A 23,132-nucleotide genomic window follows, 5' to 3' on the forward strand; every position below is an offset into this window, starting at 1 on the left:
TATTATTTTTAAATGTATGTGTAGCACAAACACATATATTCAGATATACCTAGTATTTTTAACACATAATTTGCAAGTCTTAATCTCTTGTAATACCTGGTTTAGAGAAGTAATGAAGGGTAGTGGGAAATACAGGAGATTACAGATCTAAAGCCCAAATTCTAATCCTGTTTCTGACCTGAACTGTATAACCAGAAACATTTCTTAATGGCGTTTTTAAATTGAGATATTTCTATACCATAAAATTTGCCTTCTTAAGGTTTGTAATTCCATGGTTTTTAGTGTATTCACAAGGTTGTACAACCATCACTACCAATTCTGGAACATTTTCATCATCCTAAAGACATATCTCGTACCCATTAGCAATCACTCCCCATTCACCTTCCACTCAGCCCATGGCAAGCAGTAATCTACTTTCTTTCTGTGTGGATTTCCTGATTCTGGACATGTCATATAAATGGAAACATACAATATTGGGTATTTTGTGTCTGGTTTCTTTCACTTAATGTCTTCAAGGTTCATCCATGTCAGAGCATGAATTAGCACTTCATTCTTTTTTAGTGGCTGATTCTATTGTGTGTTTATATAGACACACATGCATGCACACCACATTTTGTTTATTTGTTCCTCAATTGATGGACATTTGGATTGTTTCCACTTTCTGGCTATTATAAATGCAAGTTAGTATATGTATGCAAGTTTTCCTGTGAGCATATGTTTTCAGCTCTCTTAAGTATATGCCTAGGAATGGAATTGCTGAATCATATGTTTAACCTTTCGAGAACTGCCAGCTATTTTCCAAATACCAGAGAGGCTGTACCATTTTGCGTTTTCACTCTTAGTGGCTCTTTACATTTTATTTATTCATTTGTAAAAAGAAAGGGTACATGAGGTTTTATGGGGGGTAAAATGAAAGGAGAGTGTTACACAAAAATATTTTTTCCTATAGAGTTCTAAATATTACATGTAACGGTTTTCTTCTAGAAATTCTAAGGGAGCAAATGGGAATTATTAAAAATTCAGAAGTCAGTAGGAACTTTTTTATCTTACTGATTTGACAGTTCCGTTCTATTTCTTATAGAGAAGCTCGCAGAGGCTCAGCGCAGGTTTGCTACACTTCAGAATGAGCTTCAGTCATCACTGGATGCACAGAAAGAAAGCACTGGTGTTACTACGCTGCGACAACGCAGAAAGCCAGTCTTCCACTTGTCCCATGAGGAACGTGTCCAACATAGAAATATTAAAGACCTTAAACTGGCCTTCAGTGAGTTCTACCTCAGTCTAATCCTGCTGCAGAACTATCAGGTACTTAGATTCTTACCCTAGAAAATGGCACCTTTAAGTAAATGAGAAATTTCAATAAATGGAAGTACCCTAAAGTATTACCAGTGGGTCAGTTCCAAAAAGGAAAATCCTTAACATGTTGTTATTCTTGGGGTTCCTACTGGCTAAAAACCATGTGTCAGAGGCAGTAAAACTGTGTTAACAAGACTTCTGTTTTTGAAGATTCATATTCCAAAAACTTTCCTATAATATTTAATATTTAGGGATAGTCCACAACTCAAGGACTAACAGTTTGCTTCCTGTTTTTAGAGGCAGCTCTGATAGTCATGAATAGAAATAATACATCTCTCCAGCCACTGTTGGCTATGTAAGGGCTTTTCTTTTTTTTCCTTTCTTTTTTTTTTTTCTTTTTTGAAACAGAGTCTCACTGTGTCACCCAGGCTGGAGTAAAATGACACGATCTCGGCTCACTGCAACCTCCGCCTCCTGGGTTCAAGCAATTCTCCTACCTCGGCCTCCTGAGTAGCTGGGATTACAGGCGCACGCCACCATCCCCAGCTAATTTTTGTATTTTTAGTAGAGATGGGGTTTTACCATGTTGGCCAGGCTGGTCTTCAGCTCAGTGAGCTGCCTGCCTCAGCCTCCCGAGTGCTGGGATTACAGGCGTGAGCCAATGCTCCCAGCCTGTAAGGGCTTTTATAGTCCTCCTAACCAATAGCAAAATTTCTACAAAAGCTATCAGATAGTTAATTTTTCTGCAGCTGACACTAATAAAACAAAGACCCTGACTTTTCAACTTGCAGCTGAAAGAATCTTTCCAATTTTACTGTCCATGGGCTGCAATAAAATCATATTTTTTAAAAGTTATTGAGAAAAGCATCTATCTAATCTTTAGAGAGACCTTATGCACTATTTTTTTTCTATTTTATTCTTGTGATTATTACTTATAATGAGTGGTTAGGATCATCATAGGATGATATACCATATTAAAACTAAAGATTATGTAACAAAAGTATTACCTGGAATATTAGAATTTTAAAATAAAAAGTAGTTAAAGTCCCATATCTGCAGTAATCTTAAATTGTTAATGCATGTGTTTATCATTTTCTTCTATAATTCTACTTTGTTCTTTAGTGATTTAATATTCTATCATTTGAAGACAAACCTAGTAAGAAAACAATTTAGTAGAAAAATAATTACATATATTTATATAGTGATAAATTCCTTTGCTTTGAGATTTGTTCATCGCTTTATAATTTAAAAAACAAAAATAAAATGTATTTCCTCTTTCCTATAATGGTATAGCAACATTACCATTTTATAGTTCATAAATTATGTTTGTGTGTTACATGGAAAAATCTTTGTTAAATTTTATTGTATTAACTTTCCTAGCAGCTTTTGTTCGGAGTCATTATAAAATGCTCCTTGGGAAAACAAAAGTAATAATTAATTATGAAAGTTCTGCTTTATCTTCTATTCTTTGGGGGTCATCTATTCTGTAAGAATACATTTATTTTGAGAATGAAGGAGAAAGGAAGATTGATTAAAAGCTATCTCTAAGTCATGATGTATGTATGCACCCCACACAGACTTTAAGATCATACATTAAAGCATGAGGGAAAAATATGTAAACAAATAAGTAAGGAAAGCCTGTTCTGGAGTGAGTGCACAATTTCTTACTGTTGGGGACATGTAATCAGCAAATTTGGGAGACCTCTGGTTTAAAGATGTAACCTTGCAAATTGAGTTTTTAGCTTTTTTGCATGCTGGGCAAAGAACAACAATTTGAGATGTTGAAATGTATAGTATTTTGTTATTGTAGAAATTGAGGAAAAATAGGGACTTCTACCCATTATAAACTGAACCCTGTAAGTATGATCACTTCCTCCTTTCTACTTACTCTTCTTAGCACTCCCATACCCAAACTGAGAATGAGTGAAAGGAAAATGAAAGTTAAGAGCACTAGATGATCTTCCATTTTCCTTACTGGAACATGCATGATTGCATGGCAGGGGGAGATACATACTCCTGTACCAGTCCTTCCAAAAATAAAGAACTAAATAAATGTGTTCAGTGCATGGGCAAATGCAAAACATTTTCTGAAAATAATTCTTTTGACCAAAGCAGCAAAATAATAGAAATTAGCTATTTTGAAAATAATTATACATAGAAAACAGGAAACAAAAACATTTTGAGCTTAGGACTTTCATTAATTTACTTGAAAGAGAAATAATAGGGTTCATAGTTCAGGGTTTCTTTGTGTTACTAATAGCATACTACCTTGAAATGAATAAAAGGAATAAAAAAGAAGAGTCATCCTTTTAGTAGTAGATGCTTTTATGAAAGCTTTGCCATTTCCTAGAGTACTTAATCTTTGTCCAGCCAGCTCTGTCAGTGCTTAGTGCTTATTCTTTTTCATCATTTTTGATGGTAGTAGAAATTATAGTTGTGTTTCTCATTTCTTTCTGTAGAATCTGAATTTTACAGGGTTTCGAAAAATCCTGAAAAAGCATGACAAGATCCTGGAAACATCTCGTGGAGCAGATTGGCGAGTGGCTCACGTAGAGGTGGCCCCATTTTATACATGCAAGAAAATCAACCAGCTTATCTCTGAAACTGAGGTACAATAATCTCGTTTATTTACAACGTATTTTCAGTTACACGTTTTATATTTAGGGAAGCAATTCCTTATTTCTGTTATTTTGTAACTAGTTGCTAGCTTTGAATATATATGCCTTACCTGTGATTTTTTTTCATTTTCTTTATCAGTATATATTCACCAAAAAGTTGTCAGAATATAATATATATAAATGGTACAGAATTATTTGTGCATCACTCAAGTTTAGTATAACCTAACCAAAATGTAATAATTTGTCTTTCTAGGCTGTAGTGACCAATGAACTTGAAGATGGTGACAGACAAAAGGCTATGAAGCGTTTACGTGTCCCCCCTTTGGGAGCTGCTCAGGTTAGTATTTGGTTCCAGTAGTTTGTTTGGTTTCACCTATTTAATAATCAACACAGTATTTAGCTGGCCCCATTATCTTAAAAAAATTTTCAGCCAAAGTTTATAAGTAGTTGCTATTTTTCTTATTTTAGTTTTTTAAACATTATATGCTATATTTTACTTCATTCTGAATTATAATGTCTTCCACCTTTCTCTTCTCATACTGTACTTTCTTGTTTATTCTTACTGACATGTTAACTTACTGGTATCATCAAATGATTAAGATGTGATTTAAAAAAAATGATCTGGTGGGTTCAGATATACTGGATTGCTATATAGCTTACTCCAAAAAAGCATTTATTAAATGATATCTACACAGTAGTTATAAAAAAAGAAAATTTATTAAGTGATATCTTCTGTGTCATAAAACAAGTCTCAATAAATATAGAAGGATTTAAGTCATGCAAAGTATATTTTCAGACAACAGTGGAATAGAAATCAATAACAGAGCTTCCATAGCCTAATGAAAGGCATCTATTAAAAAAAAAATAAAACCTCTACAATTATTATCATACTCAATGGTAAACACTGCATGCTTTCTCCCTAAGACTTGGCCCAAAAAAGGGTATTCACTTTTAACACCTGTATTCAACATTGTGCTGGAGATTATAGCCAGTGCGGTAAGGGAAGAAAAAGAAATAAAAGACATTCAGGGTAGAAACGAAGAAGTAAAACCAGTGGGGTTTTGCCAGTGACTTGATGATCTATGTAGAAAATCTAGTGAATCTATAGAATAGCTACTATAACTAACAAATGAGTTTAGCAAGGTTGCCAAATACAAGACCAATATGTAAAATCATTTGTCTAGATACTTGCAAGAACAATTGGAAATCAAAAAATGTTAAAGCAATGCTGTTTATAATATCATCAAAATATACAATGCTTAGTAATAATTCTGACAAAAGATGTGTAAGGCCTTTACATTGAAAACTACAAAACACTGCTGAGCAAAATTAAAGACTTGGATGAGAGAGATGCTATGTTCATGGGTATATTGCACACACCCAGTATTTTAAAGATACGTTGTTTCTTCCTGAGGTGATTTATAGATATAATACGTTCCAGCTCAGAAATCTCAGAAGACTTCTTTGTAAAATTGATAAGCAGATTTAAAAATTTATATGGAGGCCAGGCACGATGGCTCATGCCTGTAATCCCAGAAATTTGGGAGGCTGAGGCAGGTGGATCACTTGAGGCCAGGAGTTCAAGACCAGCCTGGCCAACATGATGAAACCCCATCTCGACTAAAATACAAAAATTAGCTGGGCTTCGTGGCACATGCCTGTAATCCCAGCTACTTGAGAGGCTGAAGCACAAGAATCACTTGAACCCAGGAGGTGGAGGTTGCAGTGAGCCGAGATCGCGCCACTGCACTGAGTGACAGAGCAAGACTCTGTCTCCAAAAAAAGAAAAGTATATGGAAAGGCAGAGGACCTAGAATAGCCAAAGCAACTTTGGAACATAAATTGAAGGATTAACATTACCTTATGAAAGCTTATTAAAGCTGCAGTAATCAAGAGAGTGTGGTAATAGTGTCATGGTAGGCAAATGATCAATGGACCAGAATAGAGTGTCCAAAAATAGACTAACATATTACGAACAACAGATATTTGATAAAGATATAAAGCAGATTAGTGGAGAAGGGTAGCATTTTCAACTAAGGATGCTGAAACAGTTGAATTCCATATACCAAAAAAAAAAAAAAATGAGCTTTCATCCATACTTCACAACATACAGTTCTAAATGTACCATAGATCTAAATGAAAACTGGAAACTACAAATTTCTAGAAGAAAATATAGAAGAAAGTCCTAATGACTTTGGGTTATGCAAAGATTTCTTAGAAATGACACCAAAAGCACCTCATCAAAATTAAAAAACGTATGCTCTTCAAAAGACATATTAAGAGAATGAAAAGAAAAGCAAGAGACTAGCAGAAAATATTTATAAAACATATCTGTTAAAGGTCTTATATTTAGAATATATAAAGAACTCCAATACTCAATAGAAGGAAAACAATCAACCCAACTTTTAAAAATGGGCAAAAGACCTGAACAGTTCTTCACAGATGTACAGGTGGCAAATTAGCATGTGATAAAATGCTCAATATCATTAGGCATTATGGAAATGCCAATTAAAACCACGGTAAGATAATACATTGTCTGTTAGAATGATTAAAAAAGACTAATCATACTAATGATGGAGGAGTAGGAACTCTCTTTTCTAATATGCTTTGGTGGAATATAAAATGTATAATGAATAAGCACATTTGAAAACAGTTTGGAAGTTTCTTAAAAGTGTACACCTGCCATATGGTCTAGCTATTACACTCCTAGGTATTTACCCAAGACAAGTGCAAATATATGTTCATATAAAGATTTCTACACAAATGTTCATAGCATCTAAACAACCCAAATGTCTATCAGTAGGTGAATGGATAAACAATTTGTGGTATATCCATACAATGAAACACTACTTAGCAATAAAAAGGAATAACTGATTGATAAATGTAACAATGTGGATAAACCTCAAATTAATTATGTGGAGAGAAAGCAGAAAAAAAAGGTACCTACTATATGATATCATTAACCTAAGACTCCAGAAAAAATGCAAACTAATAAATAGTGACAGAAAGGAGATCAGTGGTTGCTTGTGAATAGAGTGGGGTAGGGTAGGCTGGGAGGAAAGGATTACAAAGACACATGGGAAATTCTTGGGAGTCGTGGATATGTTCTTTGTCTTGATTATGCTGATGGTTTTGTAGACGTTTATGCAGTTTCAAAACTTATCAAATCGTACACCTTAAATATATACAGTTTATTGTATATCAACTTAGTCAGTAAAGCAGTTTTTAAAAATCCTAAGCATATTATTGTCAAACTGCTTGGAAATAAAGAGAAGAATCTTAAAAGCATCCAGAGAGAAAAGACACAAATTCTATACTTTAAGTATGTGCAATTTTTTTATGTCAGTTGTTTTTGAATAAACATTTTAAAATTAGTTTCAAAAAATTAGGGTGTTTAAGAATGCCTGTAGAGATGGTAAAGCTAAAGAAAATGTGGAAGTGGTTATCTCTGGTGCGGAGGGAAGGTTTTGGGATCAGGGAGGAATAGGGAATTCAAAGTTAATGGAAATGTTCAGCTTCTAAATATGGATAGTAGTTATAGATTCACTTTATTATTCATTTCTAACAGTCCAAATAAATTATATGCATTCTTTTGTATATATGATAAATTAAACAATTTTTGAAACTAAAGGTAACTTTTTATCTTTGGAAAAGACAAATGACCATCTTTTGGATGCTTTCAGTCAGAAACTAACAATACAGTTAGAATCTGTTACTCTATTAAGTAATAATAAGACAGAGGGGAGTCTCAATGCTTTGTTTTTGAAGGTTTTTAGAAAACAAAATACCTGAAATGTACTATCATCTCTAACAACAAAAAATTTTATAACATTCACAGCAAATATTTAAGTCTATAAGATTATCTCTCTCTGTGTTTCTCATCACTTTACAATCTTAGGCACTTGCTATTACATATTTATTTTAGAAAGCAGAAGTTTCAAAAATCGCTTTCTAAATATAAAATTAAATTATAATAGATAATATTTTTGAGCCTACATACACGGGAGATTTGGATATATCAGTCTCTTAAGAACCTCTCGTATATCCTGAAAAATTTACTTTAAATTACCCCAGTATGGGCTGCACACTGTGGCTTACACCTGTAATCCCAGCACTTTGGGAGGCCAAGGCAAGTGGATTGCCTGAGCCCAGGAGTTCAAGACCAGCCTGGGCAAAACAGTGAAACCTCATCTCTACAAAAAATACAAAACTTAGCTGGGCATGGTGGCACACACAGTAGTCCCAGCTACTCTGGAGGCTGAAGTGGGGAATCACTTGAGTCTGGGAAGTTGAGGCTTCAGTAAGCTGTGATCACACCCCTGCGCTCCAGCCTAGGCGATAGGACGAGACCATGTCTCAGAAAAAAAAAAAATGCTACCTCAGTATAATAATGTAAGTACTATCAGAAAGTAAGCGTTCTTGTCTCCGTCATCGTCTCTAATTTTATCTGTTGTACCAAATGTGCAAACTCTGAGTAATACTGACTTTAAAAATTTACAATTTCATTGTAAAAATGAAATTGCATCTTAACTCTCTCCTATTTACAAAACTCATATGTATATATATATGTGTATATATGTATATATGTGTATATATATGTATATATATGTGTGTATATATATAGTCGTTCCTTAGTATCTGTTGGAGATTGGTTCCAGGATCCTGTGGATAGCAAAATCCGTGGATGCTCAAGTCCCTTATAAAATGGCATACTATTGCATATAACCTGTACACATCCTCTTAAATACTTTAAATGATCTCTGGGTTACTTATAAAACCTAATACAATGTAAATGCTGTATAAATAGTTGTTAATACTCAGTGCTTTTATTTGTATTACTTTTTCTTGTTTTGTTATTTTTTACTGGTTTTTGTTCCTGAATATTTTCAATACACGGTTGATTCCTCGAGTGTAGAATCCACATACTATAATTTAATGCCTAAGATTATAATCTTGCTTATTTCATGACACAGATTTCTATAAAAAAAAGCTTGATTAATTGGCAACTTGAATAGTATTATAGGATGATGAAGGTTGATTCTCTGGTTCAGATTTATAAAAATTTAGAACATTAAATATTATTTTCATGGTAGAACTTTGAGACTCATTCTACTATTTTATTACAGCATATAGTAAATACAATCAGTGTTTTGTCCTGTACTCAAATACTATTTTTCTGTCCACAGCCTGCACCAGCATGGACTACTTTTAGAGTTGGCCTATTTTGTGGAATATTCATTGTACTGAATATTACCCTTGTGCTTGCCGGTAAGTAGTTTAAATTTTGAATTAATTTATTCTTACCAATATGCCTGTGTCATATTCTGCCCCTCTGTAAGGAATTATGCATGCAACTACCAAAGCTACTGAAAGATAAATCTATCAGGGCTAAGTTTTTTGTCCTTATAAATGTGGTTTTTTTTAGTTGTTTGTTTTGTTGGCGTTTTTTCCCCATTTGGGTATGGTTATTCTCTAAAACATTGCTCATGTATGACTTCTTTTTCTTCATCATTTTCCAGTTTCTGTATATAACTTCTATATAATTTTTCAGAGTTTATTTATCAAAAACCTTGGCTTTCTTGATCATAGATGAGGATAAATAATGTTACAAAACTCATTCACAAAGCTCTTTCACTTTGCTTATTGGAGACCCTCTCGCATCCTTTTCAGAATCTATTTACAATTACTTTGCATATAGTGTTAAGAAGCTTGGTTGTATAATTTCCTATTCTATAGAAGTAAAAACAATTAGAAAGAGATAGGAAGGATTCCTAGGAGCAGCTGCACTCACAACATCAAAAAATGATATAACAGCAAAGGAAGCATAATCTTACTAAATCTCCCCAAAGAATTTGACACACCCCACAGTAGCATTTGACATTATCAGTCACCACTTCTTGAAACACTTTGATTGTTTTTTCTGGAGAAACCACACTCTGCTGGTTTTCCTGTTAAATTTTACTGGCAGTTTGTTCCCAGTCTCCTTTGCTAGCTATACTTTTCTTTGTGACATCAAAATGTTAGGGTATAGTGCTGGGCTCAATCCTTCAATCTCCTCTGTCTATATTTGTTTCCTATCTAGGCAATCTTATTCAAGACTATGGCTATAAATACCGTCTATATGCTAATGACTCCCAAATATATGTTCTCTCTTCTGAAAGATGTCTACTTGGCTAGTTGGATTTGTCTAGTAGATATCTCAAACTTACACAGACAAAAGATACCTTGATTTTTACCCCCAAATATGCTCTTCTATCTGGCATCACCTTTCATCCATTTCTCAGTCCAAAATCTTTTAGTTTCTCTTGTCCCTCATATTTAATCTTCAGTCCATCAGCAAATCTTATTGGTCTGTCTTCAAACCATGTTCTAAATGTATTTACTTCTCACCACCTTGGCCAGTGCCACTCTTGTCTAAGCAGCCATTTCTTTTTTTTTTTTTTTTTGACACGGGGTCTCACACTGTCGCCAGGTCTGGGGTGCAGTGGTCCGATCTCGGCTCACTGCAACCTCTGCCTCCTGGGTTCACACGATTTTCCTGCCTCAGCCTCCTGAATAGCTGGGATTACAGGCACACACCACCACACCTGGCTAATTTTTTGTATTTTTAGTAGAGATGAGGTTTCACTATGTTGGCCAGACTGGTCTTGAACTCCTGACCTCGTGATCCACCCACCTCAGCCTCCCAAAGTGCTGGGGTTTACAGGCATGAGCCACCGCGCCCGGCCAGCAGCCATTTCTTGTTTAGTGTATAGCAGCCTTCTGGACTCGGTCTCCTTGCATCTACTCTTGCCTCCTTATAGCTACTAGTGTCTTTTTTCCCCCCCCCCAATGGAAGTTAGATCATGTCACTCTCCTATTCAAAATTCATTCATGGCTACTCTTAAAATAAAATCCAAACTCCTTGCCATTGCCTGCAAGAACTTACAGGATCTCACCTCTGTGGGCCTTTCCGATATTATATTGTCATCTTCCCCCCACACTTAGCTTCACTTTGTTTCCGACCACACTTGTGTTAGTACTTCTTAGATGCATCAAGCTCATTCTAATCTAAGAGCCTCTGCAGTTGCCTAAAGAGCTCTTCCCCAAGATGTCTACCTAGCTTATTTCATCACTTGTCTGTATTCAAATGCTACATTCTTAGTAAAGCGTTCCCTGATCACCCAACCCTAAAATAATCTATTCTGTCCCTTTAGCCTACGTTAGTTTTCTTCTGAGTACATATACTTACCTGACATTATATATTATATATTTATATTTCTTGTGATCTCTTTTTCCACTGGAATATAAATTTTCTTGATGCCTGGGCATTTGTCTCTCTTGTATCTCTAGCACGTAGAACACTGCTTAGACCATAGTAGGGGCTTGAAAAGTATTGGGGAAGTTTGGCTGGAAGAGAAGGAGAAAGATGAAATTAAATGATATTTAGAAAACACATGCACAAACAGCAGAAAAACAGACACAAATCTCAAAGCTTCTTATAGTCAAGGACTTTTAAGGACAGATAACCTTGGTATACCTAAGGGTCTATGTAATTGTGCTCATAATAATAACTGAATCATTAATAAAGGGCTAAATTTTGTTCAGTGAAGTCTGCAAAGAAATATTAGGCTGGTGCAAAAGTTGCCATTACTTTTAATGGCAAAACTGCAATTACTTTTGCATCAACCTGTATGATTTAAAAATAGATGTCATTATTTGAATATCCATAATATTCCATTTCAGACTTTTAGTAATCATAATAATGCCCAAATAAGGAAGCTTTATGTCACTGTCATACTTAACTATTCTTGATTGCAGGGACTATGTATTGTTGCATTTTAAGTTCCCAACACATTGTCAAGTTTATAGTAGATGTTCGAGAGATAATTTACTGAACTAATTATTCCTCATAAACATTCTGCTTAAGACTATCAATTGTATATTATGAAATGATAACCTACATTGTAATGGCTTTTAGAGAACATATGAATTTTACCTATTAACAGTGTGTTTTCATTTGTATTGTTAGAGTTCTTCTTCCTACCAGTTACTAAAAATCAACTCTAATAGTTATGGTCAATCCTGAGTTTATGATGTAGTGTTGCTATAATTTATAATCATATTTTAATCTGGTTCTATTTCCTTAGGTGAATACAGTTTACTTACATAGAATACATGAAAATAATACAATTTAAAAACTCAGATCTATGTTATCAAGCTAGCTGTAGTGGAGAGAACAAAAGGCCTGCATGGGTTTCAGTTTCAGCTCCACTGTTAGTTGTTTTGGCTTTAAGGACATCATTTAACTTCTCTCAAACAGTTTCCTCATCTGTTAAATGAGCTTAACACCTTAAATTTGCAGGGTTGTTTAGGGTTCATTCATTCATTCAGCAAGTAAATTTTATGTGTCTAAGGGTTATGCTTGATGCCTACAAGTCTTAAGATAAATAAGAGAATCCCTTTCCTTATGAAATGTATTATGCCAGGGAGATTAAGGCATATATTAAAGCAATATACTGCAAGATAGAAGGTGTTAAATTTTCTAAGCGGTTCAAAGAGACAACTGATTACTTTTAAATGAGAGCATCAGGGAATACTTCATGGAAGAAATAACGTTTATGCTAGACATTGGTGGAATCAAAGCCATTTCGAGAGAAGGAGACAGTTGAGCAAAGAGATTTAGTTGGCCTGGGGTGGGGATGGAGTGTAGAAGGAGGGAGTGAGTTATGAAGGAGAGAAGTGATAAATTGGCCAAAGGTGAAGGAGAATATTAGATGATAAGGGTGAAAAGATAGCTTGAGGCCAGCTCATAGGGATCAGATAAGAAGTGTAAGTAAAACATGTTTGTAGTTGCAAAGTGCTATGTCAATATAAGGTATATATGGTGGGGGTTGTTCTTTCTATAGAAAATGCCTTAGTCATTAGTGGGTGCAATTTTTTTGTTTAATTTTCAAGATGAGCATGGTGGTATTATCATCATTAAAAAAAGACATAAAAAATACATTTTTCCATTCTTTTTATGTGAATTAATTGCTACAATTTGAGGGTTTTTTTGTTTAGTATATACAGACTATGTTTTTGTAAGACATTCTGATTTGTTTTTTATGTGTGCTGTGTATGCATTTAGTGTTACGCATTATGTTTTCTCACTTCAGAACCCTTCTTTGTTTGATCTTTGTGTATGTTGTAGGGGGAGGGTAAATATAGTTAAAGCCAGCTGTCTATCCTTATTTATCTTCCAGCGGGTGCTTAAAAGATAACAGTGTTGAGAGTCAAAGAGAAACACAGTCGTAGTATGCATGTACAAGCACGATTCTTTTTTTCAAACATTCACATTAAAAAATGTGCATAATTGCTGTGGTTTTTCAAGGGGACATGACCTAGTATTTAATAATTTCTCTGAAAATCACGTGTTTCAGATAATTAATTTCATTAAGATGAAAAGTTGACTGTTTAGATTTTTTTTTCAAACTTGTTTCTTTTGCAGGTTCCTACTAACATATATAACTTAATTTGGTACAATAACAGTATACCATATTTCACTTACTGGTTTGGCCATTTACAGTGGGTATAAGGTGTGAAATAGGCTCTGGTACACTAGTGGTAAGAGTACTCATTGTTGCTATCTCTTTGGAGGATAATTTGGCAGTGTGTGTAAAAATTTTAGGCAAAATTATGTTGATTAAGCCGTTTTGTTTCTAGAAATTTATCCTACAAACATACTTGTACATGGTTGCAAAGACATGTATGCTAGGAGGATAGTCATTGCCATTTTGTTTATAGTAGAAAAATCCTAGAAACCACTCAAATATTCATAAATTGATAGCTCTTTAAATTATATTACCTCTGTACAGTGGAATACCATGGAGATATTAAGATGAATGAGGTAATGGTGGGAGTGAAAATGGACACAGCACTTTGGAGAACTTTTTGGCAACAGGAATCAGTTTTGTGGAAGACAATTTTTTCACTGGGCTGGCGGGTAGGAGAGGGGATGGTTTCAAGGTGAAACCCTTCCACCTCCGATCATCAGGCATTAGTTAGATTCTCATAAGGAGCGCGCAACCTAGAGATCCCTCCCATGCGCAGCTCACAATAGGGTTCGTTCTCCTCTGAGAATCTAATGCCGTTGATCTGACAGGAGGCGGAGCTCAGGAAGTAATGCTCTCTCACCAGCCGCTCACCTCCTGCTGTGTGGCCTGGTTCCTGACAGAGCACGGACCAGTACTGGTCCATGGCCTGGAGATTGGAAACCCCTGTACTAACCTATGACCCAGTTCTAATAGAAATGCTTACATATGTCCACCAAAAGACATGTATGAGAACACTTAAGTAATATTGTTTGTAATAGTATCCAGTCATGTACCATGTAACAATGTCTTGGTCAGCAGCAGACTGCAGATATGAAGGCAGTCCCATAAGATTATAATGGAACTGAAAAATTGCTGTTGCATAATGGACGGCATAGCCATCATAGCATAACACATTATTTAGATGCTTGTGGCAGTGTTGGTATAAACAAACATATTGCACTGCCAGCCATATAAAAGTTTAGCACTTAAAATTCATGTACATAATACTTGATCATGATAATAAATGACTTACTGATTTATGTATATGCTATACTATTTATTATTTTAGAGTGAACTCCTCCTACTTATTAATAAAAGAGTTAATTGTAAAACAGCCTCAGGCAGGTCCTTCGGGAGGTGTTCCAGAAGAAGGCATTAATAGAATAGGAGATGACAGCTCCCTGTGTGTTATTGCCCCGAAGACCTTCCAGTGGGAGAAGATGTGGAGGTGGAAGACAGTGATATTGGTGATTCTGATCATGTGTAGGCCTAGGCTAATATGTGTGTTAATGCCTTAGTTTTTAAGAAGGTTTAAAAAGTAAAAATAAAAATTAAAAAATGTAAAAATAGAAAAAAGTTTATAGAATAAGGATATAAAGAAAAAATACGTCTATATTGTTATACAGTATGTCCATGTTTTAGGCTAGGTATTATTACAAAAGAGTTAAAAAGGTTTAAAAATTTTTTAAGTTTATAAAGTTAAAAAGTTACAGTGAGCTAAGGTTAATTTATTATTGAAGAAAGAAAAAAATTTTTTTATAAATTCAGTGTAGCCTAAGTGTACAATGTGTATAAAGTCCGCAATAGTGTAATGTCCTAGGTCTTCACATTTACTCACCACTCACTCACTGACTCACCCAGAGCAACTTCCAGTCCTATAGCTCCATTCATTGTAAGTACCCTATACAGGTGTACCATTTTTTATCTTTTATAATGTATTTTTACTGTGTCTTTTCTATGTTTAGAGATGTTTAGAGACAAATACTACCATTGTGTTACAATTGCCTACAGTATTCTGTACAGTAACATGGTGGACAGGTTTATAGCCTAGGAGCAATAGGCTCACATAACTGTAAGTAATGAGAATAACAAACTGTAGCTACATACAAGAACATGATGGCTCTCACAAATGTTAAACAAAACAAGCCAGACACAAAGAATACATATTACATGATTCCATTTACATGGAGTTCAAAAAACAGGCAAAAATCAGGAGTTTACCCTTGGGGAATGGATAGCAATTGGAAAGAATATGAGCCGGAACTTCTAGGATGCTTGTAATATGCTGTGTTCTGGGTGCTGATTCACTTCATTTTTCATCATGTTGTATACTTATGATTTATCCATTTTTCTATATGTATGTAACACTTAAATTCAAAAAGTTTACATTAGAAAATGAGTGAGATCTTTGTGCACTGATACTGGAAAATCTCCACTCCAGGATATAAGTGAAAAAAAAAAAAGGCCTGGAATAGCATATATAGCATGCTCCCAGTTGTAATTGGTGATTTGTTTTTTAAAAAATAGTATGTGTTTCTCTATGCATCAAGAAATTCTTGAAAGATAATAGACAAATTGTTAGCATGGTTTTCTTCAGAAGATCTGGAGTGAGACGAGGCTTCTCATATTCTTTATAATATTTGTGGTTCTTTTCCTATACACATACATTACTTGTTAAAATTTTTTTAATGTTCCTTTAAAGAAAAGTGAGTTGGCAACTTAATACAGAGAGGACTGTAATTTTGTAAGTTTTAGAACAAACTTCTGTTTGGGTTTTTTTTTTTTTTTTAAACAGGTACATATTTGCTTACTAACACAACCTAGCCCCATTGTTAAGTGTGCAGGCTTTGGAGCCAGATTGTAGGGTTATTACATCCTTGTGATCCTGGGCAAGGAACCTATTTTGAGTAAGCCTTAGTTTCTTCATGTATCTGCTGAGAAAAACCAATTTATAGTGTTGCTGTGAGAACTAATGAAATTATGCATGAAAAACATTGAGTATATTGCTTACCCCAAAATAAATGCTTAATGATTGTTAGCTGATTTTTAAGTTAAAAATTCATGAAGCCATGGGAAGTTTGTGATGGGACCTTATATATCTTTTATTTTTGGGACTCATGGATCAGAGAGATGATATACTTATTCTTAAAAATGATACTAATTTGTTTTTTGATTCCCTGGAATTTTTTATGATGATCTTGTCTAGCAAGAGTATTGTGGTTTAATCCCAGTAAATCTACAAAAGTTTGCTTCAGGGAGATCATGCCAAATGAAGGAGGTTTCATTGTATTGCTTATATATGCCCTTAGGTTTTAGATTTATGTGCAATTGAAAGTTTTGGATCTTTGATGAATAACTTGACTATTAACAGTTAAAATTGCCTTTTGCTTTTTGAAACTTTTTTTTTCCTTCAGAGACAGGGTCTCTCTCTGTTGCCCAGGCTGGAGTACAGTGGCCCCATCCTAGCTCACTACAGCCTAGACCTCCTGGGCTCAGGCGATCCTCCTGCCTCAGACTCTTGAGTAGCCAGGAATACAAGTATGGAGTAGCACCATGCCTGGCTAATTTTTTAACTTTTTTGTAGAGACAGAGTCTCACTATATCGCCTAGGCTGGTCTTGAACTCTTTGCCTCCAGTGATCCTCCCACTTTGGCCTCCCAAAACACTGGGATTACAGGAGCCACCATGCCTGGTCCCTGTTTTTTGAACCATTTTGAAAGTAAATAAGTTCATTAGCTTAAATATAGTATTTTCATTCAGAAGAATATATCTTTAGCATTTATTGTTTTACAGAGGTCCTTGGGGTTTTTGTTGTTGTTGCTGCTGTTTTGGTTTTCGCTGACTTTTCTAACAAATTGTGGAGTTCAAGGATATTTTATTCAGATCATATTTACTGAAAGCCTTAGAGATTTTCTAGTTCCTATGTTATCAAGTAGAACTTAGGTAAATATGTGTTTAGATTTTATAAATATGGATTACATTTTCTGTTCATGGCAATTTTCTTCCTATGTAGGACAGAATACTACTGTTGCTAGGGTCATGAATATTTGAACCCTAAGCAGGCTATTTCGCTTTCTTTTATGTATGGCCACAGATATTAACTAGACAGAATTAGAAAATTTTGATATATTAGAGCAAATCTATCACCACCACTACTAAAACAGTTCAAAATATATGCCTAGGCCGGGCGCGGTGGCTCATGCCTGTAATCCTAGCACTTTGGGAGGCCAAGGCGGGTGGATTGCCTGAGCTCAGGAGTTCGAGACCAGCCTAGGCAACATGGCAAAACCCCGTCTCTACTAAAATTACAAAAAAATTCCCTGGGTGTGGTGGTGTGTGCCTGTAATCCCAGGTACTTGGGAGGCTGAGGCAGGAGAATCACTTGGACCCAGGAGGGGGAGGGTGCAGTGAGCCAGGATCATGCCATTGCACTCCAGCCTGGGCAACAGAGCAAGACTCTGTCTCAAAAAAAAAAAAATTATATATATATACACACACATACACACATACCTAACATAGAAATTAGTAATGACATCTTAAGATATATTTATTACTTTTTTCCTTTTCTGTTTTTTTTAATTGAGGTGAAGTTCACATAACATAAAATAAATTTCATTTTAAAGTTAATAACTCAGTGGCATTCAAGTACATTCACAGTGTTGTACAACCACCACGTCTATCTAGTTCCCAGACATTTTCATCAGCCCAAAAGGAAACCCCACTCTCCATTCCCTCTCCTCAGCTGCTGGCAACCACTAATCTGCCTTCTGTCTCTATGAATGTTCCTATTCTGGGTATGTCCATAAATGGTGTCATACAATATGTGGTATTTTGTGTTTGGCTTCTTTTAGTTGGCGTAATGTTTTCAAGGTTCATCCATGTTGTAGCATGTATCAGTACTTCATTCTTTTTATGGCTGAGTAATATTCCATTTTGTGTATGTATCACAATTTGTTTATCCATTCATTCATTGATGGACATTTGGGTTATTTCTATCTTTTGGCTATTGTGAATGGTACTGTTAGGAACATGCATAAACATGGATTTGTTTAGTACCTGTTTAATTTTCTGAGGAGCCACCAAACTGTTTTTCACAGAGGCTTTACCATTTTCCATTCCTACTAGCAGTTTATGAGGATTCTGTTTTCTGCACATCCTTGCCAACACTTGTTTTCTATGTTTTTGTTTTCTTCATTATATCCATACAAATGGGCGTGAAGTGGTATCTCATTGTGGTTTTAATTTGCATTTCCCTAATGACTAATTATATTAAGCATCTTTTCATGTGCTCATTGGCCATTTATATATATATTTTGGACAAATGTCTATCCAGGTTCTTAGCCCTATTTTAATTGGGTTGTTCATTGTTCCATTGTTAAGTTGTAAGAGTTCTTCATGTGTTCTAGATACTAGACCCTTATATTAGATAAATGATTTGCAAATATTCCTCCCTTTTTTTTTTTACTTTCTTGATAATGTCTACTGATGTTTTAAATTTTGATGAAGTCTCATTTATCTGTTTTTCCTTTTGTTTCATGTACTTTTGTTGTGATACCTAAGAATCTATTGCCAAATTCAAGGTCATGAAGATTTATCATTATGTTTTCTTTGGAGTTTTATGGTTTGAATTCCTATATTGAAGTCATCAATGAGTTTTGAATTAATCTTTGTGTATGCTGTGAGACAAGGGACCAACTTCACTTTTTTGCATGTGAATATCCAGTTGTCACAGGACTAAGCTGTTGAAGAGAATATTCTTTTCCACTGAATGGTGTTGGCACTCATGTTGAAAATCAATCAGCCATCGATGTATAGGTTTATCTCTGGATTCTCAGTGCTATTCCATTCATCTATATGTCTGTTTTCATACCAGTGCCACAATGTTTTGATTACTATAGCTTTGTAGTAAGTTTTAAAATGACAAAGTATGAGTCCCTAACTTTGTTCTTTTTTCATTATTGTTTTAGCTATTTGGGACCTCTTGGAATTCCATATGAATTTAAGGATTGACTTTTTCAGTTCTGAAAAAAAGCCATTGGAATTTTGATAGGGATTGCATTAAATCTGTAGATTGCTTTGGGTAGTATTGCCGTCTTAACAATATTAAATCTTTAAATCCATGAACACAGGATTCTTTTCTACTTTAATTTCTTTCAGCAGTGTTTTGAGTTTGTAGTATACAGGTCTTTCACTTACTTGGTAAAAGTTATTTCTAGATGTTTTATTCTTTTGAATGCTATTGTAGTTAGAATTATTTTCTTAATTTCATTTTCAGATTGCTCATTGCCGATGTATGCAAACACAAGTGAATTTTGTGTGTTGATCTTGTACTCTACAACTGTGATGAATTTACTAATTCTAGTAGTTTTATTGTGGATTCTTTGGGATTTGTGTTATTTTTGTTTCCTGACTGTTGTAATGCATCTGTGGTCTTTGCTTAGGAATCAGGATGTAAAACTATATATCATTTTCCATTTATAACTTCCTAACTAATCTTGCCTTTGTACTTGTTCCCTTGTAGTCTGTTCACTTAACAGCTAGAGTAGCCCTTTAAAATAATTCATGAGGTCATGCCGTGTATGTACAAAACCTTCTACAGGCTTGTACATCAGAGTAAAAGCTTAAGTCTTGACAAAGTACTGAAGAGCTCTGTCTGATCTACTGCTGACCAGTTCTTTACCACTATACCTTTGTTTGTTCCAATCATAGTAACTTGGCTTTCTTCCTAGAGCAATCTATCTTAAGGCCCTTTGTACTTTCCCTCTCTACAAGGAGCCGTCTTCCCCCAAACATCCCAATGCTTTGTTCTCTATTTCCTTAAGGTCATCTCCTTAAGTGTCATCTCCTGAGAGTCTTCCCTGACCGCCCTACCTAAAATAACACCTAACATCATTCTTTATCTCCTTACTGTAGTTTTCCTTCAAACCCCTTATCTGACTTTATGCAGAACAGAAATTTCCTGAAGATAGGTATTTTGTCCGTTGTTCATCACTGAATTGCTAGCTCTTAGAATGGTGTCAGGTGTAATAGGCACCTAATCAATACTTGTCAAATGAAGGAATAAAGTTTCCTCAAGTAAAAGGAAAAAGAAACTAATATATACTGAATACTCATAATGAGCCAAACGTTATTCTAGGCATTTGATATATGTTGTTCACATTTAATCTTCTTAATAAACTTATGAGAATAGATATTATCCCCATTGATCAACAAAGAAACAGAGACTTTAAAAAAAAATAAATAATTTGGCATCGCTAGGATTTGAAATCTGGTCTGTAGTACTTGATTCCAAAGCAAAGGCTTTCTCTACCGTGTTATTTTAAAATTATTAAATCTTCTATATACTACAGAGAATACAAAGGTAAACAATAAATGGTTATTTAAGTATATAAATTAGTATATAGGCTGGGCATGGTGGCTCACTCCTGTAATCCCAGCACTTTGGGAGGCCGAGGAGGGCAGATCACCTGAGGTCAGGAGTTCCAGACCAGCCTGGCCAACATGATGAAACCCCGTCTCTACTAAAAATACAAAAAATTAGCTGGGTGTGGCGTCACGCATCTGTAATCCCAGCCACTCAGGAGGCTGAGGCAGGAGAATCGCTTGAACGCGGGAGGCAGAGGTTGCAGTGAGCCAAGATGACACCACTGCACTCCAGTCTGAGCGACAGAGCAAGACTCCATCTCAAAAAAAAAAAACAAAAGTTTGTATGTAATTAAATTCCAAATGAGCAGTACTGTCAATAAATTTTATAGTTATTTGGAAAATCATTAGACCAAATGGAAGTGTTTCTCATACAGTGGGCTTAAAACGAAATATGTTGATTCAGTGAATTTATGAACAGGTAAGGATCCAGGATCTGTCTCTTAAATAGTAAGTAGAATTTGAATTAGTGGAGAGAAAGAACAAGGCCATTTTAAGTAGAGGGAACAACATAAGTAAATGTGAAAAACAAACTTATTAAAAGGATAATAAAATTCATCACGAGTCAAGAGTTAATATTTTAGGGGTGCTGCGAGATAAGTTTGGGAAAAGTGAGTTGGTGATTAGATTATGAAGAATTTGAATTGTGAGGCTAAGGTATCTAAAGTATTTGAACATTATAATTACTGGCGAGCCATAGAATAATGATATTGAACATTTGTGTGGACATAATGGGCAATAGAATGTAGTGCTTAAGAGTATGAACTTTGGAGCAAAACTGGGTTCAAATTCTAGCTTAGGTCAGTAACTAAGCAAATGACAACCTCTCTGTGCTCTAGTTTCCTAATCAAATGGAGATAATGGTTTTTAACTCAAAGAGCCATTGTGATGGTTAAATGAATTACCAATTATTCTATGTAAAAATACTGAGAACAGTGCTTAGCACATAGTAAGCATTCCGTAAATATTAACTGTTGTCATTTATATGACATTTAAATTTTCACACTACTTTCATGTGTACTGTTCCTTCTCATTTTCATGGCAACTCTGTGAGGTAGATATTACTATATCCAGTTTAATAATGGAGTAAATGAAGCCAAAGAGAGGTTTTGTCATGCCGGATCCCCAAATGACAGAACTGATCACATGATTCTAAGCCACTTCACCATGATTCTTTGTAATCTAAAAAACTAATAGAACAATGGGATGACATGCTGAAAGTCAAGTTTTGGGAAATTATTCTAGTGACATTCTGCAGAGTAAAATGAAGACGAGAAAGAACCCACAGGCGACTTTTTAAGGCTCTTAAAATAATCTAGGTTTGGCCAGGCGGGGTGGTTCATGCCTGTAATCCCAACACTTTGGGAGGCCAAGGTGGGTGGATCACGAGGTCAGGAGATGAAGACAATCCTGGCCAACATGGTGAAACCCTGTCTGTACTAAAAATACAACAATTAGCTGGGCGTGGTGGTGCGTGCCTGTAATCCCAGTTACTCGGGAGACTGAGGCAGGAGAATCGCTTGAACCAGGGAGTCGGAGGTTGCAGTGAGCCGAGATCACGCCATTGCACTCCAGCCTGGCAACAGGGTGAGACTGTCTCAAAAAAATAAATAGGTAGATAGATAGATAGATAGATGATAGATAATCTAGGTTTAGGTTTTATTTATGAAAAATTTCTATGCCAGGGCTATATCATTGAGAATGAAGACAAAAGATTATTAATTCAAGGGAAGTTATGAATTTTATAACTGACCAATATCTTAATATTCTTTCAGCTGTATTTAAACTTGAAACAGATAGAAGTATATGGCCCTTGATAAGAATCTATCGGGGTGGCTTTCTTCTGATTGAATTCCTTTTTCTACTGGGCATCAACACGTATGGTTGGAGACAGGCTGGAGTAAACCATGTACTCATCTTTGAACTTAATCCGAGAAGCAATTTGTCTCATCAACATCTCTTTGAGGTAATCAAAGCAAGACATAACACCTCATGAATATAGTTTGCATTAGCTATATAGCTATCTGGTTTAGTGGGTACTTAAATCCATCCTCTACTTGAAGAGGATTATTAGCTTAATAACTAATCATGTTTCTTACTTTTGTTTTATTAAAGATATTTTAAGTAATGGTAAAAGTAAAAATAACAATTTTTCTCTATCTTTCTGTCTTCCCCATCCTTTACTAGATTGCTGGATTCCTCGGGATATTGTGGTGCCTGAGCCTTCTGGCATGCTTCTTTGCTCCAATTAGTGTCATCCCCACATATGTGTATCCACTTGCCCTTTATGGATTTATGGTTTTCTTCCTTATCAACCCCACCAAAACTTTCTACTATAAATCCCGGTTTTGGCTGCTTAAACTGCTGGTAAGTCCAGAAACTTGTGTACCACTTTTAGAGTGGCATATTGGTTATTGACTTCCTCTAAGATAAAACCAAGGCTGCTAGGTTGTACAACTGC

The 23,132-nt window shown here is 35.2% G+C and overlaps 1 protein-coding gene across 4 annotated transcripts in view; it reads left to right on the forward strand.

The window, feature by feature from the left end:
• XPR1 (xenotropic and polytropic retrovirus receptor 1) overlaps positions 1-23,132 on the forward strand; it is a 258,258-nt gene that overhangs the window by 170,285 nt on the left and 64,841 nt on the right. For all 4 annotated transcript variants that reach the window (NR_137330.2, NM_004736.4, NM_001135669.2 and 1 more), the window contains exons 4-9: positions 1,082-1,305; positions 3,756-3,905; positions 4,168-4,251; positions 9,101-9,182; positions 22,447-22,637; positions 22,859-23,038. Coding sequence is in view for 3 of the 4 variants with exons in the window: in NM_004736.4 (NP_004727.2) it covers positions 1,082-1,305; positions 3,756-3,905; positions 4,168-4,251; positions 9,101-9,182; positions 22,447-22,637; positions 22,859-23,038 (911 nt within the window). In the remaining variant the exon portion in view is untranslated. The remainder of the gene's footprint in view (positions 1-1,081; positions 1,306-3,755; positions 3,906-4,167; positions 4,252-9,100; positions 9,183-22,446; positions 22,638-22,858; positions 23,039-23,132) is intronic.

This window comes from Homo sapiens, chromosome 1, assembly GCF_000001405.40.
Source record: "Homo sapiens chromosome 1, GRCh38.p14 Primary Assembly".
NCBI lineage: Eukaryota > Metazoa > Chordata > Mammalia > Primates > Hominidae > Homo > Homo sapiens.